General features: G+C 34.1%; 1 protein-coding gene across 4 annotated transcripts in view; it reads right to left on the minus strand.

Moving 5' to 3' along the window:
- LRP1B (LDL receptor related protein 1B) overlaps positions 1 to 19743 on the minus strand; it is a 1899594-nt gene that overhangs the window by 278326 nt on the left and 1601525 nt on the right. For all 4 annotated transcript variants that reach the window (NM_018557.3, XM_017004341.2, XM_017004342.1 and 1 more), the window contains 5 exons: positions 16489 to 16602; positions 16096 to 16245; positions 7141 to 7263; positions 4905 to 5024; positions 180 to 308 (listed from right to left, as the gene is read on the minus strand). In NM_018557.3, coding sequence (NP_061027.2) covers positions 180 to 308; positions 4905 to 5024; positions 7141 to 7263; positions 16096 to 16245; positions 16489 to 16602 — 636 coding nt within the window. The remainder of the gene's footprint in view (positions 1 to 179; positions 309 to 4904; positions 5025 to 7140; positions 7264 to 16095; positions 16246 to 16488; positions 16603 to 19743) is intronic.

Here is a 19743-nt window from a genome sequence, read left to right on the forward strand (position 1 = left end):
TAAAGAGGTTGCAGAACTACTGTGATACCGTCATCCCACCTGATTAAGTCCAATACTACCTATGGGCCCAGGAACTAGGAAAGCAATGGGAAATGTGCTATGGCAAATACTACAAAAACAAATAACCAAGGATGCTGCAACAGTTTTCTTTGACATGCAGCCCTGGCCAGTGTTCATACCGCAGCCTGCTGTGGAAAGCTCATCGCTTCCATCTGGACAGTCCCTTTCACCATCACAAAGCCAATGTCGGGGCACGCAGGCACGAGAGCCCTGGCAGCTGAACATGTCAGCAGCACAGGTTATGGCACCTGAAACACAAAAACATAATGCCATTAAGATTACTCTGTGTCCACTGGAAAATGTCTACCATTTACATTTTCTACAGTAAGGGGGGAAGCAGAAGAATGTTGCTTATAAGGAGGCGATTGTAGTTATTGGGAATCATTAAACATCATTCTTCCCCTGTAGTTGTCCACACATTTTTATCTAAGAAGGCATTCTTTCCTAGCTATAATTGTTATATTTCTTAAAGCTACATGGTAGAAAATAATGTACTTTATCCTTGTAAAATGTGGCAAAGCATAGAAATGTCATAGAATTGTGAATACACTGAGATAACATTTCTAAAGGCCTGAACTAGAAAAATAATAGTAATTGAAATAATGCCATTTTTATTGCTTAATACGTGCTAAGCACTTAACATATTAACTCATTTATTCCTTACAATAAGCCCAACCCATAGAACTATTATCAGTATCATTTTACAGAAAAGAAAACTGAGGCTCGGGGAAGTTGAAAAGCTTGCAGAAAGTCACAAGTTGCACGCAATTTTGCATGCTCAACTGGGAGTCCTCTGGATCCTAAGCACCCTCTGAATCCTAAGCACCAACTTTTAACCACTCATGTCATTACTATTACTCTCCATCTTGTAGTACCAAAAAGTATAAATGCATGCACGTTCCATTTTTTTCATGCATAATAATTGGAATCTACCTTTGCTCTATCACTGCAATGTTTCTTTAGTTGCATGATAATGTCTTTCAAAAAAATGCTTGTTGACTTGGACTTTTAAGTACAAAGGGTTCCTCTTTCCTTCCCGTTATGATCATAGGGTAGCCATATGTCAAATGGCCCTCCCTCATGATATTTTCCTAGTCCCTGTGCAGTTACATACAATGAATGTTTTGAATGTTTTGTTTGTTTGTTTATAAAAAGTACCTGAGTGAATCAGTAACATGACCCTAAATCTCTTTTTTTTTTTAAATTTTACTTTCTTATGACCCAAAGTTGCCCAGAATTGATGCTAAAAAAGAAATTTGTTGAAGTGTTGAAAATAGTATATTATCTCCAGGAAGAAAATATAAGTGACTAGATGAAAAATATTTGTTTCTAACAATTGAAAGCAGTAGACAGTGTGTTTTAATTGGATTATCATTTATCCTCTTACTTTTCAGCCAGAGTTGTTAGGAGCAGAAAATTCTTTTTGAAGTAATGTTTTCAATATGGTAAGCAGTGGGGTATCAAAATACAATCCTCTAAGGGTCTTTTTTTTTTTTTTTTTTTTTTTTTTTGAGACGGAGTCTCGCTCTGTCGCCCAGGCTGGAGTGCGGTGGCGCGGTCTCGGCTCAATGCAAGCTCCGCCTCCCGGGTTCACGCCATTCTCCCGCCTCAGCCTCCGGAGTAGCTGGGACTACAGGCGCCCGCCTCCACGCCCGGCTAATTTTTTGTATTTTTAGTAGAGACGGGGTTTCACTGTGTTAGCCAGAATGGTCTCAATATCCTGACCTCGTGATCCGCCCGCCTCGGTCTCCCAAAGTGCTGGGGTTACAGGCGTGAGCCACCGCGCCCAGCCCCTCTAGGGGTCTTTTGCAATATAAACATACCTGTCCTTGACATATACCTTAGCCTGGAGGAAAGGATGAAGAGTGGATGTTGACAAATCCCCCCCGTAATCTAGACTTGCTTATTTAACTGAGGATCTATTTAATAGAATGGAGTTTAACATTTTATGTAGTACTGGAAGAAGTTAGAAAATAATCTATTAAATAAATGTACTTTCATTTAAAAATTATTTTGTTTGCTAACTAGTATGTCTTCAGTACTTTCTATAATAAAATTATCTTTCCACAGAAAATATTTTTATATTATTCCTCCTTATCTATCCTTTTTAAGCTTGCCATGAAACCATAAAGTGTCCTTTTTATTATTATATTCTCAATTCAATGCTTTGTATAACATTTTTACTTTTTAGCTTGAGATGTTTTTAACTGCATTTTTTTCTCTTAAGGAAGTTTTGATAAATGTAAAATTTCTTGTCTACTGCCATATTATCACTTTAATTTGTTCTCAAGGCAGTCATAATAGAAAGAGCCCCGATTTGGCAGTGGAGAAATCTAATTCTGTATGACCTTGATGAAGACTAGTGTCTGAATTACCCTATCTTTAAAATGATGGGTATGACTAGATCATTACTGAGATATCTCCAGCTATAAAATGGCATAAGGCTCTTTGCAGCTAATTTTCTGGCTCCCTTGATAGTATTCAACAGATTTTGTGTTAAGAACATGCCAAAACATCATAGTCAATTGGGAAGAAAATGGGCCAAAGAAAAAATTCATGACTTTATTTCATAGTTGCCACTGCCATCTGGAGATATACTGCCTTTCTCAGGGAAAAGAATCCCGAGGGAGAAGAAAGACAAGTTGATAAATTCCACTAGATCCATCTTGCACACCAACTCGGATAATAATATTTAATTGATAAGAGTCACTAGCCTATTAATATTTTGGAACCTGAATTCTGCTCATACCTCTGTCATAGTTAATTATCTGAGTGACCTCAGGAAAATGTATTAATTTCTGTGAGTTTCTCTTTTTTCATCTCTCAAAAGATGGAAATAAACTAGACCATGGTTTTCAAAATGGGACCCTTAATATTCCAAATCAGAATCACTATGTGCATATCAATAAAGAATGTGTTTACATCCTGCATCAGAATATTTTGAATTGGAAATTGGGAAACAACATTTTTAACACACTTCTGAGAACGATCTTTTGTACTCCAAAGGTTGAAAACAAGTGAGACGAATTATTTATAAAGTTATTTTCCTGTTCTAAAATAGGAGGTTCAGTTCATTGGCTGATGATTGGTCTAAAGCAGTATTTTCTTTATGTGTCTCAAGCTTGGTAGTTAGTACATAAAATACAGCTCATAATTAACGTAAATAAGCTCAGTATTTTGATTGCAGGTAAACATGTCCATTTTCTTATTAGTCTTTAATAAAAAAGCATTATTAGGACACTGACAATACTTCGACAAAGAAAGGAGGCAGGAGAAATAAAATCAGAAAAACCTCATAAATATAGTGTACATTGGTTATGTTGGATGATCATATTAGGTATACAGGTATATAAGTACAAATCTTTTTGTATCCAATTAATAGGTAAGGAATAACAAGATAAGGAAAAAAATGAAGTGGTCTATGATCACACAGCTTGAAAATGCAGATGTGGGAGAAGTCAAGTCTACATGACTTTAGAGACTTTGCCCCTATAATACTGTGTCCACTCAGAAAGCACAGTGTTATCAACGGGGCAGTTTAGTGTAGAGTTTAACAAAAGTCAAAAGTAAGATAATTTTAGAGATTGAAACAGTGCTCATCCTATTGTAAATAGGTAATTCTTTTATTAAATTTATTTTTAAAAGTAATAGCAAAGAGAAACAGACAGTCATCTAATTGATTACTGACTTTTTTTCTTTCACAGCTTTTTGATAGTGATCTTTCTATATTTGTCTGTTGTATAACTGTAAATGGTTTCAGCTGTGTAAATAAAAAGTAGATTTTGAGTGACTTAAATACAAGAAAGTAAATTGCCTACTTTCAAGAATATCTCCAATTTCATATTACTAAAGAGAACTTCAGTTGAGCTTGAATACTAAAAAATACCGCCTTTCTCTATATGTTTGTGACAGAAATAGCAGTCCACAACCCCTGAAATTTAAAAGAGGTGTTAAGTATACTAAAATCTATACATACACCTTATTCTATGACTTGGGTCCTTCTCTTCCTAAAAGAGGATGATAACAGCTGCCACCAAAGGCTGATGTAATGAGTAAAGAATATATAGCTACAGGTACAAATGCATGTACAGAAATAGATTAGATAGACAACCAATAGACATCTATAAAAATAGTGAAATTCTTGGCCGGTAAGAACAAATTTTAAAGACTAGCTTGTTTCCTTCTTTTACCCCTTAGGAAATTCAGTGAATAATTCTATTTAACTATTTGTTAAATATTTGTGAATATTACAAAGCAATCATACTGGGCTTGTAGTTGACATATAGTAGTTAAGTATAGATACGTGACACTAATACCTCTAATCTTATAAAGCTACATTTTAAAGTGCATTTTAATATCATATAAAATAGCCACTTTCCTTTACTTCTTATTTAAAACAATTCAGCAATAAGGATGAAAACAACACACACATATGCACATAAACAGCACGTGTGGCTTGTGGCAGTATAAATTAGTATACTAATTTTGGAGGGTAACTTGGTGGTACATAGGCAGCATAATGAAAAATAAGTTTGATTATTTGACCCTGTAATCTCAATCATTGATATTTGCTTCAAAGAATTCACCGAAAGCTAGAAATAAAATGTACAAATACATTTGTTGTGGCAATATTAAGGAAAAATACCAAATATTGAATAACAGCTTTATATATAAAAATATTAGAATAATGGATTGTCATGAAAATAATAAAAACAGCTACCTAGAAAGGTACACATAAATTTTATGTTAATTTTAATAAATTAGCAAATTTTGTGTATGCTATAAAATGATAGAGCATATATAATGCTTAAAAACTGATTGAGGACAGAAGATACACAACTTACCACAAATGCTGTCACTTTCATCTAACCCATCCCCACAGTCATCTTCTCCATCACAAATCCAATGCTTAGAAATACATTTTTGTGCGGAACAAGCAAATTGGTTCCAAGAGCAAGAAGAATCTAGGAAACAAACAAAAGGAAAAAAAAAAATAGTTTGAGACCGTCTTACAACAGATCCGACAGTGAGAAGATTCTTTCTTAGACTTTGCTAAAATCAACAATCCTATAATAAAAGAAGCCAACTTCTTCTTTTCTATGACAATTCTATAAAATTTTGGCATCAGCTTGCATATTCCCTCTGTGTTTCCAGGTGATACAACCACGATTTGTTCAACATGATTCTTATAAGGCTTGCCTTTGAGGTAGTCCTAATGCGGTCACTCTACTCCAGGTATATTTGTCTGTTATTATTATTTTTTGAATGTGTAATGCATAGATATAAAATATATATTTCTGGTATAGTCTAGTCATACTTTTTAACTTTAAATCTATCTTTGAGCCAAGAGAAAACACTTACGTCCTAAGTAAGGTAACAATATGGTGGACTAATCAGCAGATATGTTTGTTTTTAAAGGTGGGTGACTAAGGAGGTTATAGCTTGAAGACAACCTGACAGTTTTGTACGTAGCAACTGTGCTGATGTTTTTGTGTTGCTTCCTTGGAAACACTTGGGTTTGTTATACCTGACTAATAACACCTAAATTAATTGGCATAGTGGCTGGCTTTTTTATTATTAGATTATATTTTTATAATAATAACACACTCCATTTATTTCCAAAGCCAATTTTGTTATTGCTCTCCTCCATTCCCAGCCTCCCCTTCTACCCAGTATATTTGTCACTAGAAAACCTTCAAAAGTAAAATCCTTCTAAATTAAGGTGTTCAAAATATAAACTCTTGTAAAAATAGCAATTCTGCTTTTGATTTCATAAACAATTGCAAAACTTTGCATTTTCATTTAAAATGCTTAATTAGATGACCTGTGAAACAGAGAACATTAGAAAACTGGAGTTTGGAAAAAATAAAATTAAAGAAGATATGATCAGATAATGGCCAGTGTTCAGAAATTATGAATCCACATACAATATTTTGGAAGTTCTCTGTTAGTCTTGTTCAAAATCTGGCTCTAATGTAAAGATATATGGCATCTTAGTAAAATAAAATGCACCTTCACATTTCATGATGACATTTACTTTTAGGAGAGTTTGACATTTCACAGAAAATCCGTTTTTAATCTTTTTTCTACTCTATCTATTCACCACAGTGTATGTTATTTGTGCTAAATGTAAATAGTGAATATATACCTTGTTTTCCTATTGGAAATTTCTTTGATTTGCAAATCACAAAATCCATACATTTTAGAAACAAAACGTAAAAATGCTTTCTTAGTTTGACAATGTAACATGAAATAAAGTGTACACACACAGAAATTAGGAGGTAGAAGATGAAAGGCAAAAGTTTAAAGAAATAGAAGTTTATATATATTATTGAAAGCTATACATGTAATTAGTACAAAATTTCAGGATAATAATATTCAGTCAGCTCTCCACATCTGTGCCTTTAATATCCATGGATTCAACAAACTACACATCAGAAGTATTTGAAAAAATAAGATTAAATAATAACAATACAAGAATAAAATATAATACAAATAAAAACAATACAATAAAACAATAATTAACATAATATTTACATTGTATTAGGCATTATAAGTAATCAAGAGGTTATTTAAAATGTACAGGATGATGTGCATAGGTTATATGCAACTACTAGGCTGCTTTATATAAGGGACTTGAGCATCCATGGATTTTGGTGTCCACAGGGTGTTAGACCCAATCCCCCATGCAGATACCAATAATAGGTGGGGGAAATATAACAAGTAGCATGTGTCAAATCCTTATTTTTTATAGCAGAAAGCAAATACATCAGGTACCACCTAAAGTTAATAAATTAAGAAAAGGTATAACTTTATTATATCTATATTATAAACTGATGGAAGTAATTATTCAACAAAAACAGAGGTTAAAAGAAAAGTCTAGGACCAAAGAGTGTTAGTCTTCATTATAAGCTCTTCTGTTTTAATTTTAATCTTTACCATTTTTGTATTATTTAATAAAAATGAAAATTAATGTTAAAATCAGCTGACAATGTTTTGTATAAAATCCCTACATAAGAGAATACTAACATATAAGTAATAGTAAGGTTAACAAAAACTAAGCTAAATACAATGTCTCACCACAGTGGAATTCATCACGTCCATCCTCACAATCTTTCTGACCATCGCATATCCAGGTATTCAAAATGCATCTTCCACTAGGACAACTAAAATAATTTTCTTCACATTTGTGTTTGTTTTGAACTGTGATAAAATATGGAATGTCAAACAATTTCATTTTAGACTTCTGAAATATAGGTAGATAAATCATTAATACTCCCTAAACTGAAAGAGATAAATAACAAGTAAGCTTAAAAATAGCTAAGATTTTCTCCTAAAGAATGTCAAGGTTATGAAAATAAAGGAAAGATTCAGAAACTGTCCCAGAACAGAGACCCATGAGACATGATAATCAAATCCAATCCAGGATTGAGTCCTAGAACAGAAAGATTATAGTAATGTAAAATTGGTTTAAATTATAACAGTAGCACTTAGTTAATAAACATAAAATAAAGTTAAAAAATAGATACGACTCTAAATTGAGTGAGCCTAAGGCCAAAGAATAATATTTGGGTGGAAAATACTCTTAATTCCATATTCATAGCACAAAATAATAAAATTAATACATTGGTGTATCTTTGCTGGAAAAGTGTGAATCTAGTGTTTCTGTGGCCATCTATTTGGAGTATTCCTTAACAGGATTTAAACAATTATTCTGTATTTTAAGGAAGAATAAACGAGTTACACTGGCAAATCTGAAATTATTATGCCTTTCAGAATTATCATAAAAAAGTACCTGTATGTAAAATTATTTTGTAAATTATATATATTTTTTAAATTATGGAGTATTATCATTATTTTAACCTTCAAGAGTACATATAGAATACTATATTTATCTTTCCTTTTTTTTTTTTTTTTGTTGAGATGGAGTTTCACTCTGTCACCCAGGCTGGAGTGCAGTGGCACAATCTTGGCTCACTACAAACTCCGCCTCCCGGGTTCAAGTGATTCTCCTGCCTCAGACTCCTGAATAGCTAGGACTACAGGCTTGTGCCACCATGCCCGGCTAATTTTTGTATTTTTAATAGAGATGAGGTTTTACCATACTGGTCAGGCTGGTCTTGAACTTCTGACGTCATGATCCTCCCGCCTCGGCCTCCCAAAGTGCTGGGATTACAGGTGTGAGCCACTGTGCCCAGCCTAAATTTATCTTTTAACTGGGTGTCATCTGTTCCATTGCTCCTTCAGGTTTACATGATTTTACATGTTTGATCTATAGCCAAGCAGGAAGTAAACCCTAGTGTATATATCCCAATCACACTATAATGGTCTATTATGGCTATTTTAAGATAACAAAAATTGTAGGCATTTTATTTTTTATATGTTGACTTTGTAGATGTAATTAAAGATGAAAATATATTTTTTGAGTGAATTCAGCATTAAACCAAAACATTTTAGGATGCTTAGGATGTTTCCTGGATCTAATCTGAAGTATTTAGGCTGACCCATTGCTGGCTTCCTGTCTGTCTGTCTACCTGCCTCATAAGCCTGCATGCATGTCCCTTTCTTTCTTACCAAATATAAAAGTTGTGATTCTCTATTAGTGTTGAAAGTTAATTTTAAGATAACTTATTAATACTAGAAAGAGATGGAGATCACAAAAAAGAAAAATAAAATTTTAGTTTAATTAATATCTATCATATGCTGACCTCAAGATAATTTCAAAATTAACTACAGTCATACTGAGGTAAAGAATGTGTTGTTGTAAACAGAAAATTAAGAATCTTGGCACCAGTTTCGTAGAGCAGTGGTTTGTAGTTCTCCCTGAAGAGGTCCTTCACATCCCTTGTAAGTTGGATTCCTAGGTATTTTATTCTCTTTGTAACAACTGTGAATGGGAGTTCACTCATGATTTGGCTCTCTGTCTGTTATTGGTGTATAAGAATGCTTGCGATTTTTGCACATTGATTTTGTATCCTGAGACTTTGCTTGAAGTTGTTTATCAGCTTAAGGAGATTTTGGGCTGAGACAATGGGGTTTTCTAAATATACAATCACGTCATCTGCAAACACGGACAATTTGACTTCCTCTTTTCCTAATTTCTTTCCTTTATTTCTTTCTCTTGCCTGATTGCCCTGGCCAGAAATAAAAGAGGACACAAATAAATGGAAGAACAGTCCATGCTTATGCATAGGAAGAATCAATATCATAAAACTGGCCATACTGCCCAAGGTAATTTATAGACGCAATGCCATCCCCATCAAGCTACCAATGACTTTCTTCACAGAATTGGAAAAAACTACGTTAAAGTCCATATGGAACCAAAATAGAGCCCACATTGCCAAGACAATCCTAAGCAAAAAGAACAAAGCTGGAAGCATCACACTACCTGACTTCAAACTATACTACAAGGCCACAGTAACCAAAACAGCATGATACTGGTAACAAAACAGAGATATAGACCAATGGAACAGAACAGAGGCCTCAGAAATAACACTACACGTCTACAACCATCTGATCTTTGACAAACCTAACAAAAACAAGAAATGGGGAAAGGATTCTCTATTTAATAAATGGTGCTGGGAAAATTGGCTAGCCATATGTGGAAAGCTGAAACTGGATCCCTTCCTTACACCTTATACAAAAATTAATTCAAGATGGATTAAAGACTTAAATGTTAGACCTAAAACCATAAAAACCCTAGAAGAAAACCTCGGCAATACCATTCAGGACATAGGTAAGGGCAAGGACTTCATGACTAAAACACCAAAAGCAATGGCAACAAAAGCCAAAATAGACAAATGGGATCTAATAAAACTAAAGAGATTCTGCACAGCAGAAGAAACTACCATCAGAGTGAACAGGCAACCTACAGAATGGGAGAAAATGTTTGCACTCTACCCATCTGACAAAGGGCTAATATCCAGAATCTACAAAGAACTCAAACAAATTTACAAGAAAAAATCAAACAACCCCATCAACAAGTGGACAAAGGATATAAACAGACACTTCTCCAAAGAAGACATTTATGCAGCCAACAGACACATGAAAAAAATGCTCATCATCCACTGGTCATCAGAGAAATGCAAATCAAAACCGCAATGAGATACCATCTCACACCAGTTAGAATGGCGATCATTAAAAAGTCAGGAAACAACAGGTGCTGGAGAGGATGTGGAGAAATAGGAATGCTTTTACACTGTTTTTGGGAGTGTTCAACCATTGTGGAAGACAGTGTGACGATTCCTCAAGGATCTAGAACTAGAAATATCATTTGACCTAGTGATCCTATTACTGGGTATATACCCAAAGGATTATAAATCATGCTACTATAAACACACATGCACATGTATGTTTATTGCGGCACTATTCACAATAGCAAAGACTTGTAACCAACCCAAATGTCCATCAATGATAGACTGGATTAAGAAAATGTGCACATGTACACCATGGAATACTATGCAACCATAGAAAAGGATGAGTTCATGTCCTTTGTAAGGACATGGATGAAGCTGGAAACCATCATTCTGAGCAAACTATCGCAAGGACAGAAAACCAAACACCACATGTTCTCACTCATAGGTGGAAATTGAACAATGAGAACACTTGGACACAGGGCAGGGAACATCACACACTGGGGTCTGTTTTGGGGTTGGGGGATGAGGGAGGAATAGCATTAGGAGAAATGCCTAATGTGGATGGCGAGTTGATGGGTGCAGCAAACCAACATGGCACATGTACACATATGTAAAAAACCTGCACATTGTGCACATGTACCCTAGAACTTAAAGTATAATTTTTTTTGGTGCCAGTTTCATGAGTCTAAAGTAATAAGTGTCTATATTTCTTTTAAATACTTTATATAATTAATTTTTTTAATGTGAAAGACCTGCAGTGAGCTACAGTCAAATGCTCTAGAATTTAGGACATGCATAGCAAGAATACTCAACAAAACCCAAAAGAAGTTTGAAATCTAACACTAAGAAAACAGAAAAAAAAAAAAAAAAGAAAATTCAGGATTTGAAAGACAACATAGCAGGATTAAGAAAGAACTAAACAGAACTTTTGGAATTAAAAAAAATCACTGCAGAATTTCAAAATACAATTGAAAGCCTTAACAATAGATTAGACCAAGCAGAAGAAAGAATTCCAAAGCTTTAAGACTGGTCCTTCATATTAATTTTTTTCAAAAATAAAAAAGAATTTTAGAAAATGAACAAAGCTTTTGAGAAATATAGGATCAAGAAAAGTGATAAAATCTATGACTTATTGAGATTCATGAGAGAGAAGAGAAAGTATGCAACTTAGAAAACATATTTGATGGTATAATTCATGAAAATATCCCCAATCTTGCTAGAGAAATCAACAGACAGATTCAAGATAGCCAGAGATCTCCTGCAAGATACTGAACAAGACAATCATCCCCAAGGCACAGCACACGGTCATTGGGCTATCCAACATCAACATAAAAGAAGTTTGAAAGCAGCTACAAAAATTGGCCACATCACCTGTAAAGTGAAACCTAGCAGACTAACAACAGACTTCTCAGCAGAAACCTTAAAATCTAGAAGAGATTGGGGACCTATTTTTAGCATTCTTAAGGAAAATAAATGCCAGTTAAGAATTTTACACTAACCTCCATAGATAAAGGAGAAATAAAGTCTTTCCCAGACAAGCAATTGTTAAAGGACTAGATCACCACCAGATCAGTACTAGAAGAGAGCCTGAGGGGGTTCTTTGAATGGAAATGAAAGAATGATACTACCACAAAAGAACACATAAGCACACAGCCCATGAACCCTACAAAGCAACTACACAAATGACACTAAAAATCACCTAGCTAACAACACTACAACAAGAATAAAATCTCACATATCAATATTAACCTTCAATGTAAATGGCCTTAAAAGACATACAGTTGTAAACTGGATAAAAAAGCAAAACCTATCCTTCTGCCATCTTCAAGAGATCTATCTGACATAATGACACCCATAGGCTCAAAGAAAAGGATGGAGAAAGATCTATCATGCAAATGGAAAACAAAAAAAGAGCAGTATTTGCTATTCGTATATCAGATATAATAGACTTTAAACAACAACAGTAGAAAAAAATAAAGAAGAGCACCTAGATTCATAAAACTAGTACTTCTAGACCTACAAAACAACTTGATAGCCACAATAACAGTAGCAGAATTCAATACTCCAGTGACATCATTCGGTCAATGAGGCAGAAAACTAACAAGGAAATTCTGAATGTAATTCAACACTTGACCTATTGGACCTAATAGACATCCACAAAACACTCCAGACTACCGTAGCATATACATTCTTCTCATCTGTACACAAAATATACTCTAAAGTTAACCACAGGTGTGGTCATAAAACAAGTCTCAATAAATTTTTTAAAAATACCAAATTCTCAGGCCTCAGTGAAATAAAAATAGAAAAAGTAGAAATCAATAACCAGAGGAATACTCAAAACCACATAATATGGAAACTAAAACTTGCTCCGAATGAATTTTGGGTAAACAATGAAATTAAAGCAGATAACAAATGATTATTTGAAACAAATGAAAGCAGAGACACAACATACCAAAATCTCTGAGATGTGGCAAAAACAGTATTAAAAGGAAGGTTTATAGTACTAAATGTCCACATCAAAAAGATAGAAAGAGCTCAAATAACAATCTGACTGCACCTAAACGAACCAAGGAAAGAAAAAAACTAATCCCAGAGTCAACAGAAGAAAAAAACTAAAATCAGAGCAGAAGAAAATAAAATGAGACCCCCAAAACTATACAAGGATCAATGAAATAAAATGCTGGTTCTTTTAAAGGTTAGACAATGTTGATGGACCGCTTGCTAGATTAACAAAAAAAAAAGAGATAAGTCTAAAACAAGCACAATCAGAAATGACAAAGGCAACATAACAACTGATCCCACAAAATATCATCAGAAACTATTGTGAACATACTCTAAAATTTAGAGAAAATGAATAAATTTCTGGAAAGGCACAATCTCCCAAAATTGAGTAAGGAAGACATTGAAAACATGAATAGATCAATGAGTTCTAAAACTGAATCAGTAATAAAAAATATACAAATAAAAAAAGCCCTGGAACAGATATATTCACAGCCAAATTCTACCAGATGTACAAAGAAGAGCTGATACCAATGCTGCTGAAACTGTTCCAAATAATTAAGGAGGTGAGATTTCTCCCTAACTCATTCTATGAAATCAGGATCATCCTAATACCAAAATCTGACAAAGATACAACAACCACCACAGCAAAACTACAGACCAATATCCCTAATGAACATAGGAACAAAAACCTTTAACAAAATACTAGCAAACCAAATCCTGTGTCACATCAAAAATCTAATTCACAATGGGCAAGTAGGCTTTATTCCTGGGATTCCAGGTCGGTGCAACATATGCAAATCAATAAGTATGATTCACTACATAAACAGAATTAAGAACAAAACCCATGTGATCATCTCAATAGACACAGAAAAAGCATTCAATAAAATCCAATATCGCTTCATGATAACAATCCTCGACAAACTAGTCATGGAAAGAACAATAAGAGCCATCTGTGACAAGCCCAAAGCCAATCTCAAATTGAAGGTGCAAAAGCTGGAATCATTCATTGCCCCTGAGATCTGGAACAAAACAAGGATGCTCACTCTCACCACTCCTTTTCAACATAGTATAGGAAATCTTAGCCCGAGCAATCAGGCTAGAGAAAGAAATTTAAAGGCATGCAAATAGAAAAATAGGAAACCAAACTATTTCTCTTCACTGACATCATAAATGTACACCTAAAGACTCTGCAAAAAAGGCCCCTAGATCTCATAATCAAGTTTAGTGAAGATGCAAAATTAATGTATAAAAATCAGTAGCATTACTATACACAAAGTTCAAGCTGAGGGCTAAATAAAAAGCACAATCCCACTTACCATACGCAAAAGAACGAAACTGGACTCCTACCTCTTATCATATTCAAAAATTAAGTCAAAGAAGTTTGAAGACTTAAATGTATGATCTCAAACTATAAAAATACTGCAAGAAATCCTAAGAAATGCTTTTCTGGACACAGTCCTAGGAAAAGAATTTATGACTAAGTCCTCAAAAGCAATTGCAACAAAAACAGAAATTGACAAATGGGACTTCATTAAACGAAAGAGCTTCTGCACGACAACAACAAAAAAACTATCAACAGAGTAAACAGGTACCCTGGGAGAAAATATTTTCCAACTATGTATCTGGCAAAGAAAAAATATCCAGAATCTATAAGGAATTTAAATAAATCAATAAGAAATAAAAAAAACAAATAACCCCATTAAAAATGGGTCGAGTATAGAAACAGACACTTCTCAAAAGAAGACATAAAAGTGGCCAACAAACACATAAAAAAGTGCTCAATATCACTAATCATGAGAGAAATGCAAATCAAAACCACGAGGTACCATCTCATAGTAGTCAGAATGCCTTTTGTTTAAAAAGTCAAAAAGTAAGATGTTGGTGAGGTTGTCGAGAAAAAGAAACACTTATACACTGTTGATCGGAGTGTAAATTAGTTCAGCCCCTGTGAAAAGTAGTTTGGAGATTTCTCAAAAACTAAAAGTAGAACTATGATTTAAGCCAATCTCATCACATACTCAAAGGAAAATAAAGATACATGCACTCATATATGTTTATTGAAATACTACTCACAATAGCAAATATATTAAATTAATGTAGATGTCCATCAGTGGTGCACCGGATAAAGAATATATGGTACACATACACCATGGAATTCTATGCAGTCATAAAAAAGTGAAATCATGTCCTTTGCAGTAACATGAATGCAGCTCAAGAGCATTATCCTAAGTAAATCAATGCAAGAACAGAAAACCATATATCACATGTTCCCAGTTGCAAGTGGGAGCTAAACATTGAGTACACAACGAAGTAAATATGGAACAATAGATACTGGGGACTCCAAAAGGGGAGAGGGAGGAAGGAGGCAAAGGACTGAAAAACTATTAGGTACCATGTTCACTAAATGCGTGACAGGATCAATACAAGCCCAAACCTCAGCATCATGCAGTATACCCAAGTAATAAGCCTGCACATGTCCACTCTAAGTGTAAAATCAAAATTTAAACAATTATATACATGATAAAAGAACCATCACAAATTTAGAAATAATAAATGTGTCATCTACTAAAAAATCAGACTTTCATAGTAGATTGTGTGTGTATAAACTTTTGTGTAAAATACTTATGAATATAATTTCTTAAAATTGTTTAAAAATTATTATATATCAACTAAACATGAAAAACATGGGTGTAGCAGCAGGGTGGAGAGAGGCAAACCAATATGAGACAAAATTTAATAGTGTCCTATATAGAATCTCTACTTCCAGTTATACATAGTTCTTTTTATAATTTTTTTTTAATTTCATGTCCTCAAATAGAAAGAAACAGTCAAGAACTTTGCTGGAAGGCATTCTTCTAAGAATGTAGATGACAGTTTTCAGGGCTTATGTATGTAAAGATGGTTAACAGTCAGATATAAATGAACCTGTCTTAACTTGATTCAATAATGATTATAACTATTACTCAAATTACTACACCAAAGGATTTTGTAAACTGCATTAAAACATTGCTGTACAATAACACTGAGTAAGGCCAGTCGTAAGAAACATTGTTTCTCTTCTTTTATGAAGTTATTTCTAGGTATGTAATAATTCTGTTGAAGGATTATAAATTACAAACTTGAAAGACTTAATCACCAATTTTGAAAGGGTTAATAACTAAACATAAAAAATTGATCCAAGTTTAGGATGGTTTCTTGAATATCATTTTGTAACTCACTTAAAAAGATCAAGCGGTATGTTTAGAACAGGTTAATTACATTTCAGTCTGTGCCATTTAAATTTTAATGTCAATAATTGATATTAAGAATAAAATTTTAAAAATTCACTCTATACAACCAGGTAGCCTCAAAATCTCCAAGGCAAAGCCTGTGTTTTTCTAAATTCTAGTATTACCTGGGCACTTTAATTCATCTGAATAGTCTCCACAGTCATTAGACCCGTCGCATATCCAGGTTGGCAGAACACACAGTGAGGTAGAATTACATCTTATGAACCCTGTGGTTTTCACTCCAAGCTTATAGAAATGTGTGCAGTCTGTGTTATCTAGAAGAAGGTAAACAAAAAATGAAAAAGTACCTCATTTTCAAAGATTATGAGCCTTCTATGTAGGTCATAGAGATGAGAAAAGTTAACTTCATTTGAGGAAATAGATACGTAATTATCCCACACAACAGGGGTTAATTACATACCAATTTTGGACAAAGTTCAGTAAAATCTTGCACAGTGTTCAATGCAATGCCAAAAGTGCCCAAGCATAAACAGACAAAAGGTAGTGGAATATCTTACTGCAGTTCTTTTCATCTGAAGCATCTGCACAATCTATGTTCTGGTTGCATCGTGCTGATCTTGGAATACAAGTCCCATCTGCACAGCGGAACTCAACCGTGGCACAGGTTGAAACTAGAAAAACAGGTACATAAACAAATGCAAAGATGGGACAGAATGACTCCTTGCTTTTACATTTTGAATATTTCAATTATTTTATATAATTTTGTTTGGTTTTGCTTTCGTAACTCTGGGAAGCCAAACTTGACCCCTGAACCCCACCTTCAAGCGTGGGTTAGATGCCTCTTATATGTCTTCCCCTATCACACAATTCTTCTCTCTGTTGTGGTATTTAGCATATTGCATTGCAGCTGCCTGTTTAAGTACCTGAAGTCTCACTAACTAAATGTAAGCTCCATGAGAGCAGGGACCATGCTGTGTTGATATCATATTGCTGTGGTAATATCACCCTAGCACTGAGCCAAAAAAAAAAAAAAAAGAATGTTGCTGGAAATTCTCTCTCTTTCCACCTTCAACATTCCAAGGTTATGACAGTAGGCAAATGCCTGATTAAATGCCTACTGGGAAATCCCAACCTGGTTGCCAAGAAGTAAAGCATTTCCTGCTATAATAGAGAGAGACAGAGATAGAAACAGAAACAAAGAGATGGGCAGGGGGGAACCACTGAACACTGACTTTGTTTCTCAGAGGGAACAGCTTACCACTACTAGAAAGTCATCTATGCTATCTCATACTCTGTTACATGGCCATATCATCATTAATATTTAATATAATAAATAGGATGCCTCATGTCAAGGAACATATACACGTGTCATTCCTTATTATTGTTATTATAAAAGTCATCCAATTCTCTGCTCTACTTAAATGAAAATTAGATTCAATATGCTATTGTCATTATATACATTTTGTATAAAGTATCTTATTTTTAACCATATGTTCCTTTCTAAGTTGCTTACCCATTGATAATCATATAGTGGTTTCCAGTAAAATGCTGTGAATGGGTACATGACATGCTATGTATGTTAAATTAACTTAGGTGATATTTCTATTCCAAATTCAAATTTCTACAAGTTGATTACATTAAAGGACAACCAGAAGGGCCCTTTGATTATGCCACTTTTACTAGTGTTGATATTTTAAAGAGCCTATTTAATTATAAATAGAAATTATATCAATCACAAATGGTTAAAATGCTATTTTAAAATACGCAGATTTTACAAAAGGGTGTGTATGTCATTTGTATTTCATAATGTATGGTTCTTATTATATTGAATTGTATCTCAAAATTGCATACTTATCTGTTTAAATGATGATTAGAATAAATGTTTTATTTACAATTTGCAATTATAATTGCTTCACTTTTTTATTAAAAATGATAACACAACATGTGAAACAGATAATGCTATTGTAAGTAGAGATAAATGCATTGTTCCAAAACGGAAAAAAGTTTTTTTTCTTTTATGTCTATAAGAGCAAAACCTCTTTTATATTCATTTGTGTTACATTTCATATTCAATTTTTTTCAATAGAAATAGTAAATGCAATATATAACATAAATATAATCATGTCAATCATTTACCTTTTGTTTTTGGCTTCACTGTCTACTAGTAGTTTCTTACTAACTTTGTTCCGAAAGATTGCTTATAATCTCTTTTTAGAAGACAAATTGCATTTCTCTGTTTAATAACATTTTAGGTAGTTATGATATTCCTAAGTAAGCCTATAATTGTTCATCTCATAATGCACTTGAGTTTCTGTCTGCTTGAAGTTAGAGTTTAGGATGCCAGGAAGATACTAATAGGGACACTTGCAACTCGTTTCACCATCACAATCTGCCTCCAATCTCCCATAGAGAATTCTCTGTCTGAGTGAGAAGTAGTGGCAGAGACAATGAGGAGGCAAATGTAGGGAATGGCATTTCAGACAGTCAAGAAAACTGGAAATTCAGCGATTTCACGTAATAGCGTTTTAAAAACCAGCACTGGTAGTTCTGAGGTAACAGAGAAAGTAAAGGATAACTTGAGAGAAGAGTGGAAGGACATGTGGGACAAATGGAACACAGTCTTAGATTGAGTTCTGGAAACAAGAAAGAAATAGAGGACCTTGAACTACATGAAAATAAATTTTAACTTTGAAGTTCAGAAGAGCGGTTAGAAAGTAGTAATTTAAAAAACTGTATTAATAAGCATAAGGAAATAGATAAAGGAAGAAGTTCGCAGGACAGAACAAAGAGTAGAAGATTTGCAGGATGTATTTTTTTTTTCCTATTTTCCAAAATAACAATAGGGCTAATGAATCTTTGGGAGGGGGACAAGGATGGGCTATCAGAGTGTGTAAGAGGTGCAAGTAGGAACAGATTGTCCCTTTGTACCTGATCCTGTCTCCACATATTGCATTATTTGGTGTAGGGTTTGAGAACCACCAGAGAGTTAGACAGGGTGATGAAAGTTGTTGCAGAGTTTTGTAAGCAGTAGGAGCAAGGTGACTGTGGGGATTAATATTGCCTTCATTAACAGGCAAGGAAGGAGAATCCTGTGAGGAAAAAAAAAATCTACAGAAATAGTAGGAACTTCATTAAATAAGTAAACACATCTCTTGCCAAAACCTCTTTCTCTCTGTTGCTTCAACTATATTTCATCTTCACTTCGTTGTGGTCAGTTAAGTATTGAAATTTGTTTCATCCATAAGGTGATTTTTGAGGAAGAAAGATACTGAAATCTCTAATTTGCCAAGTGAATATGAAAGTTTTCTGACAATATTTCCTCGGGCTAAGAGTCCTGATAAAGAGAGAAAATGAAATAATAGGGTCCAAATAAAGATAAGCCAAGGGAGAGATACTACACTTTTCCCTCCAGGTAGTCCGAAAGAAAAAGTAAGCTTATGAAACATGAGTGAAAACACCCTACAGCCACAGCAGGAATAGCAATGAGGCACTACAAAGGAAGAAGATCTGTCAGGGATTGTGGATCAAAAGTAGCAGCAAGAGAGAAAGTAAAACCACTCTCTCTAATATACTTTAATTTTACTATTTCTTCCACTTTCTTTTTAGCATGTCAGCTAAAATATTTAGTGAGATTTGAAAGACTTAAAAATCAATGGCCTTTCTGTAGTTCTTAGGATGTTTCTTATAAATAACCTAAGTCAATTCTCTCTTCCAACATCCCTTACCCAACTCGTAGCAAAGGGAAGCTGAAAAGGGGGGGGGGAAGCATTAAGTTTGCTCTCATATCTCCTTTTCATTTACTTTCAAACAAC

The sequence above is a fragment of the Homo sapiens genome, chromosome 2, assembly GCF_000001405.40.
Source record: "Homo sapiens chromosome 2, GRCh38.p14 Primary Assembly".
NCBI lineage: Eukaryota > Metazoa > Chordata > Mammalia > Primates > Hominidae > Homo > Homo sapiens.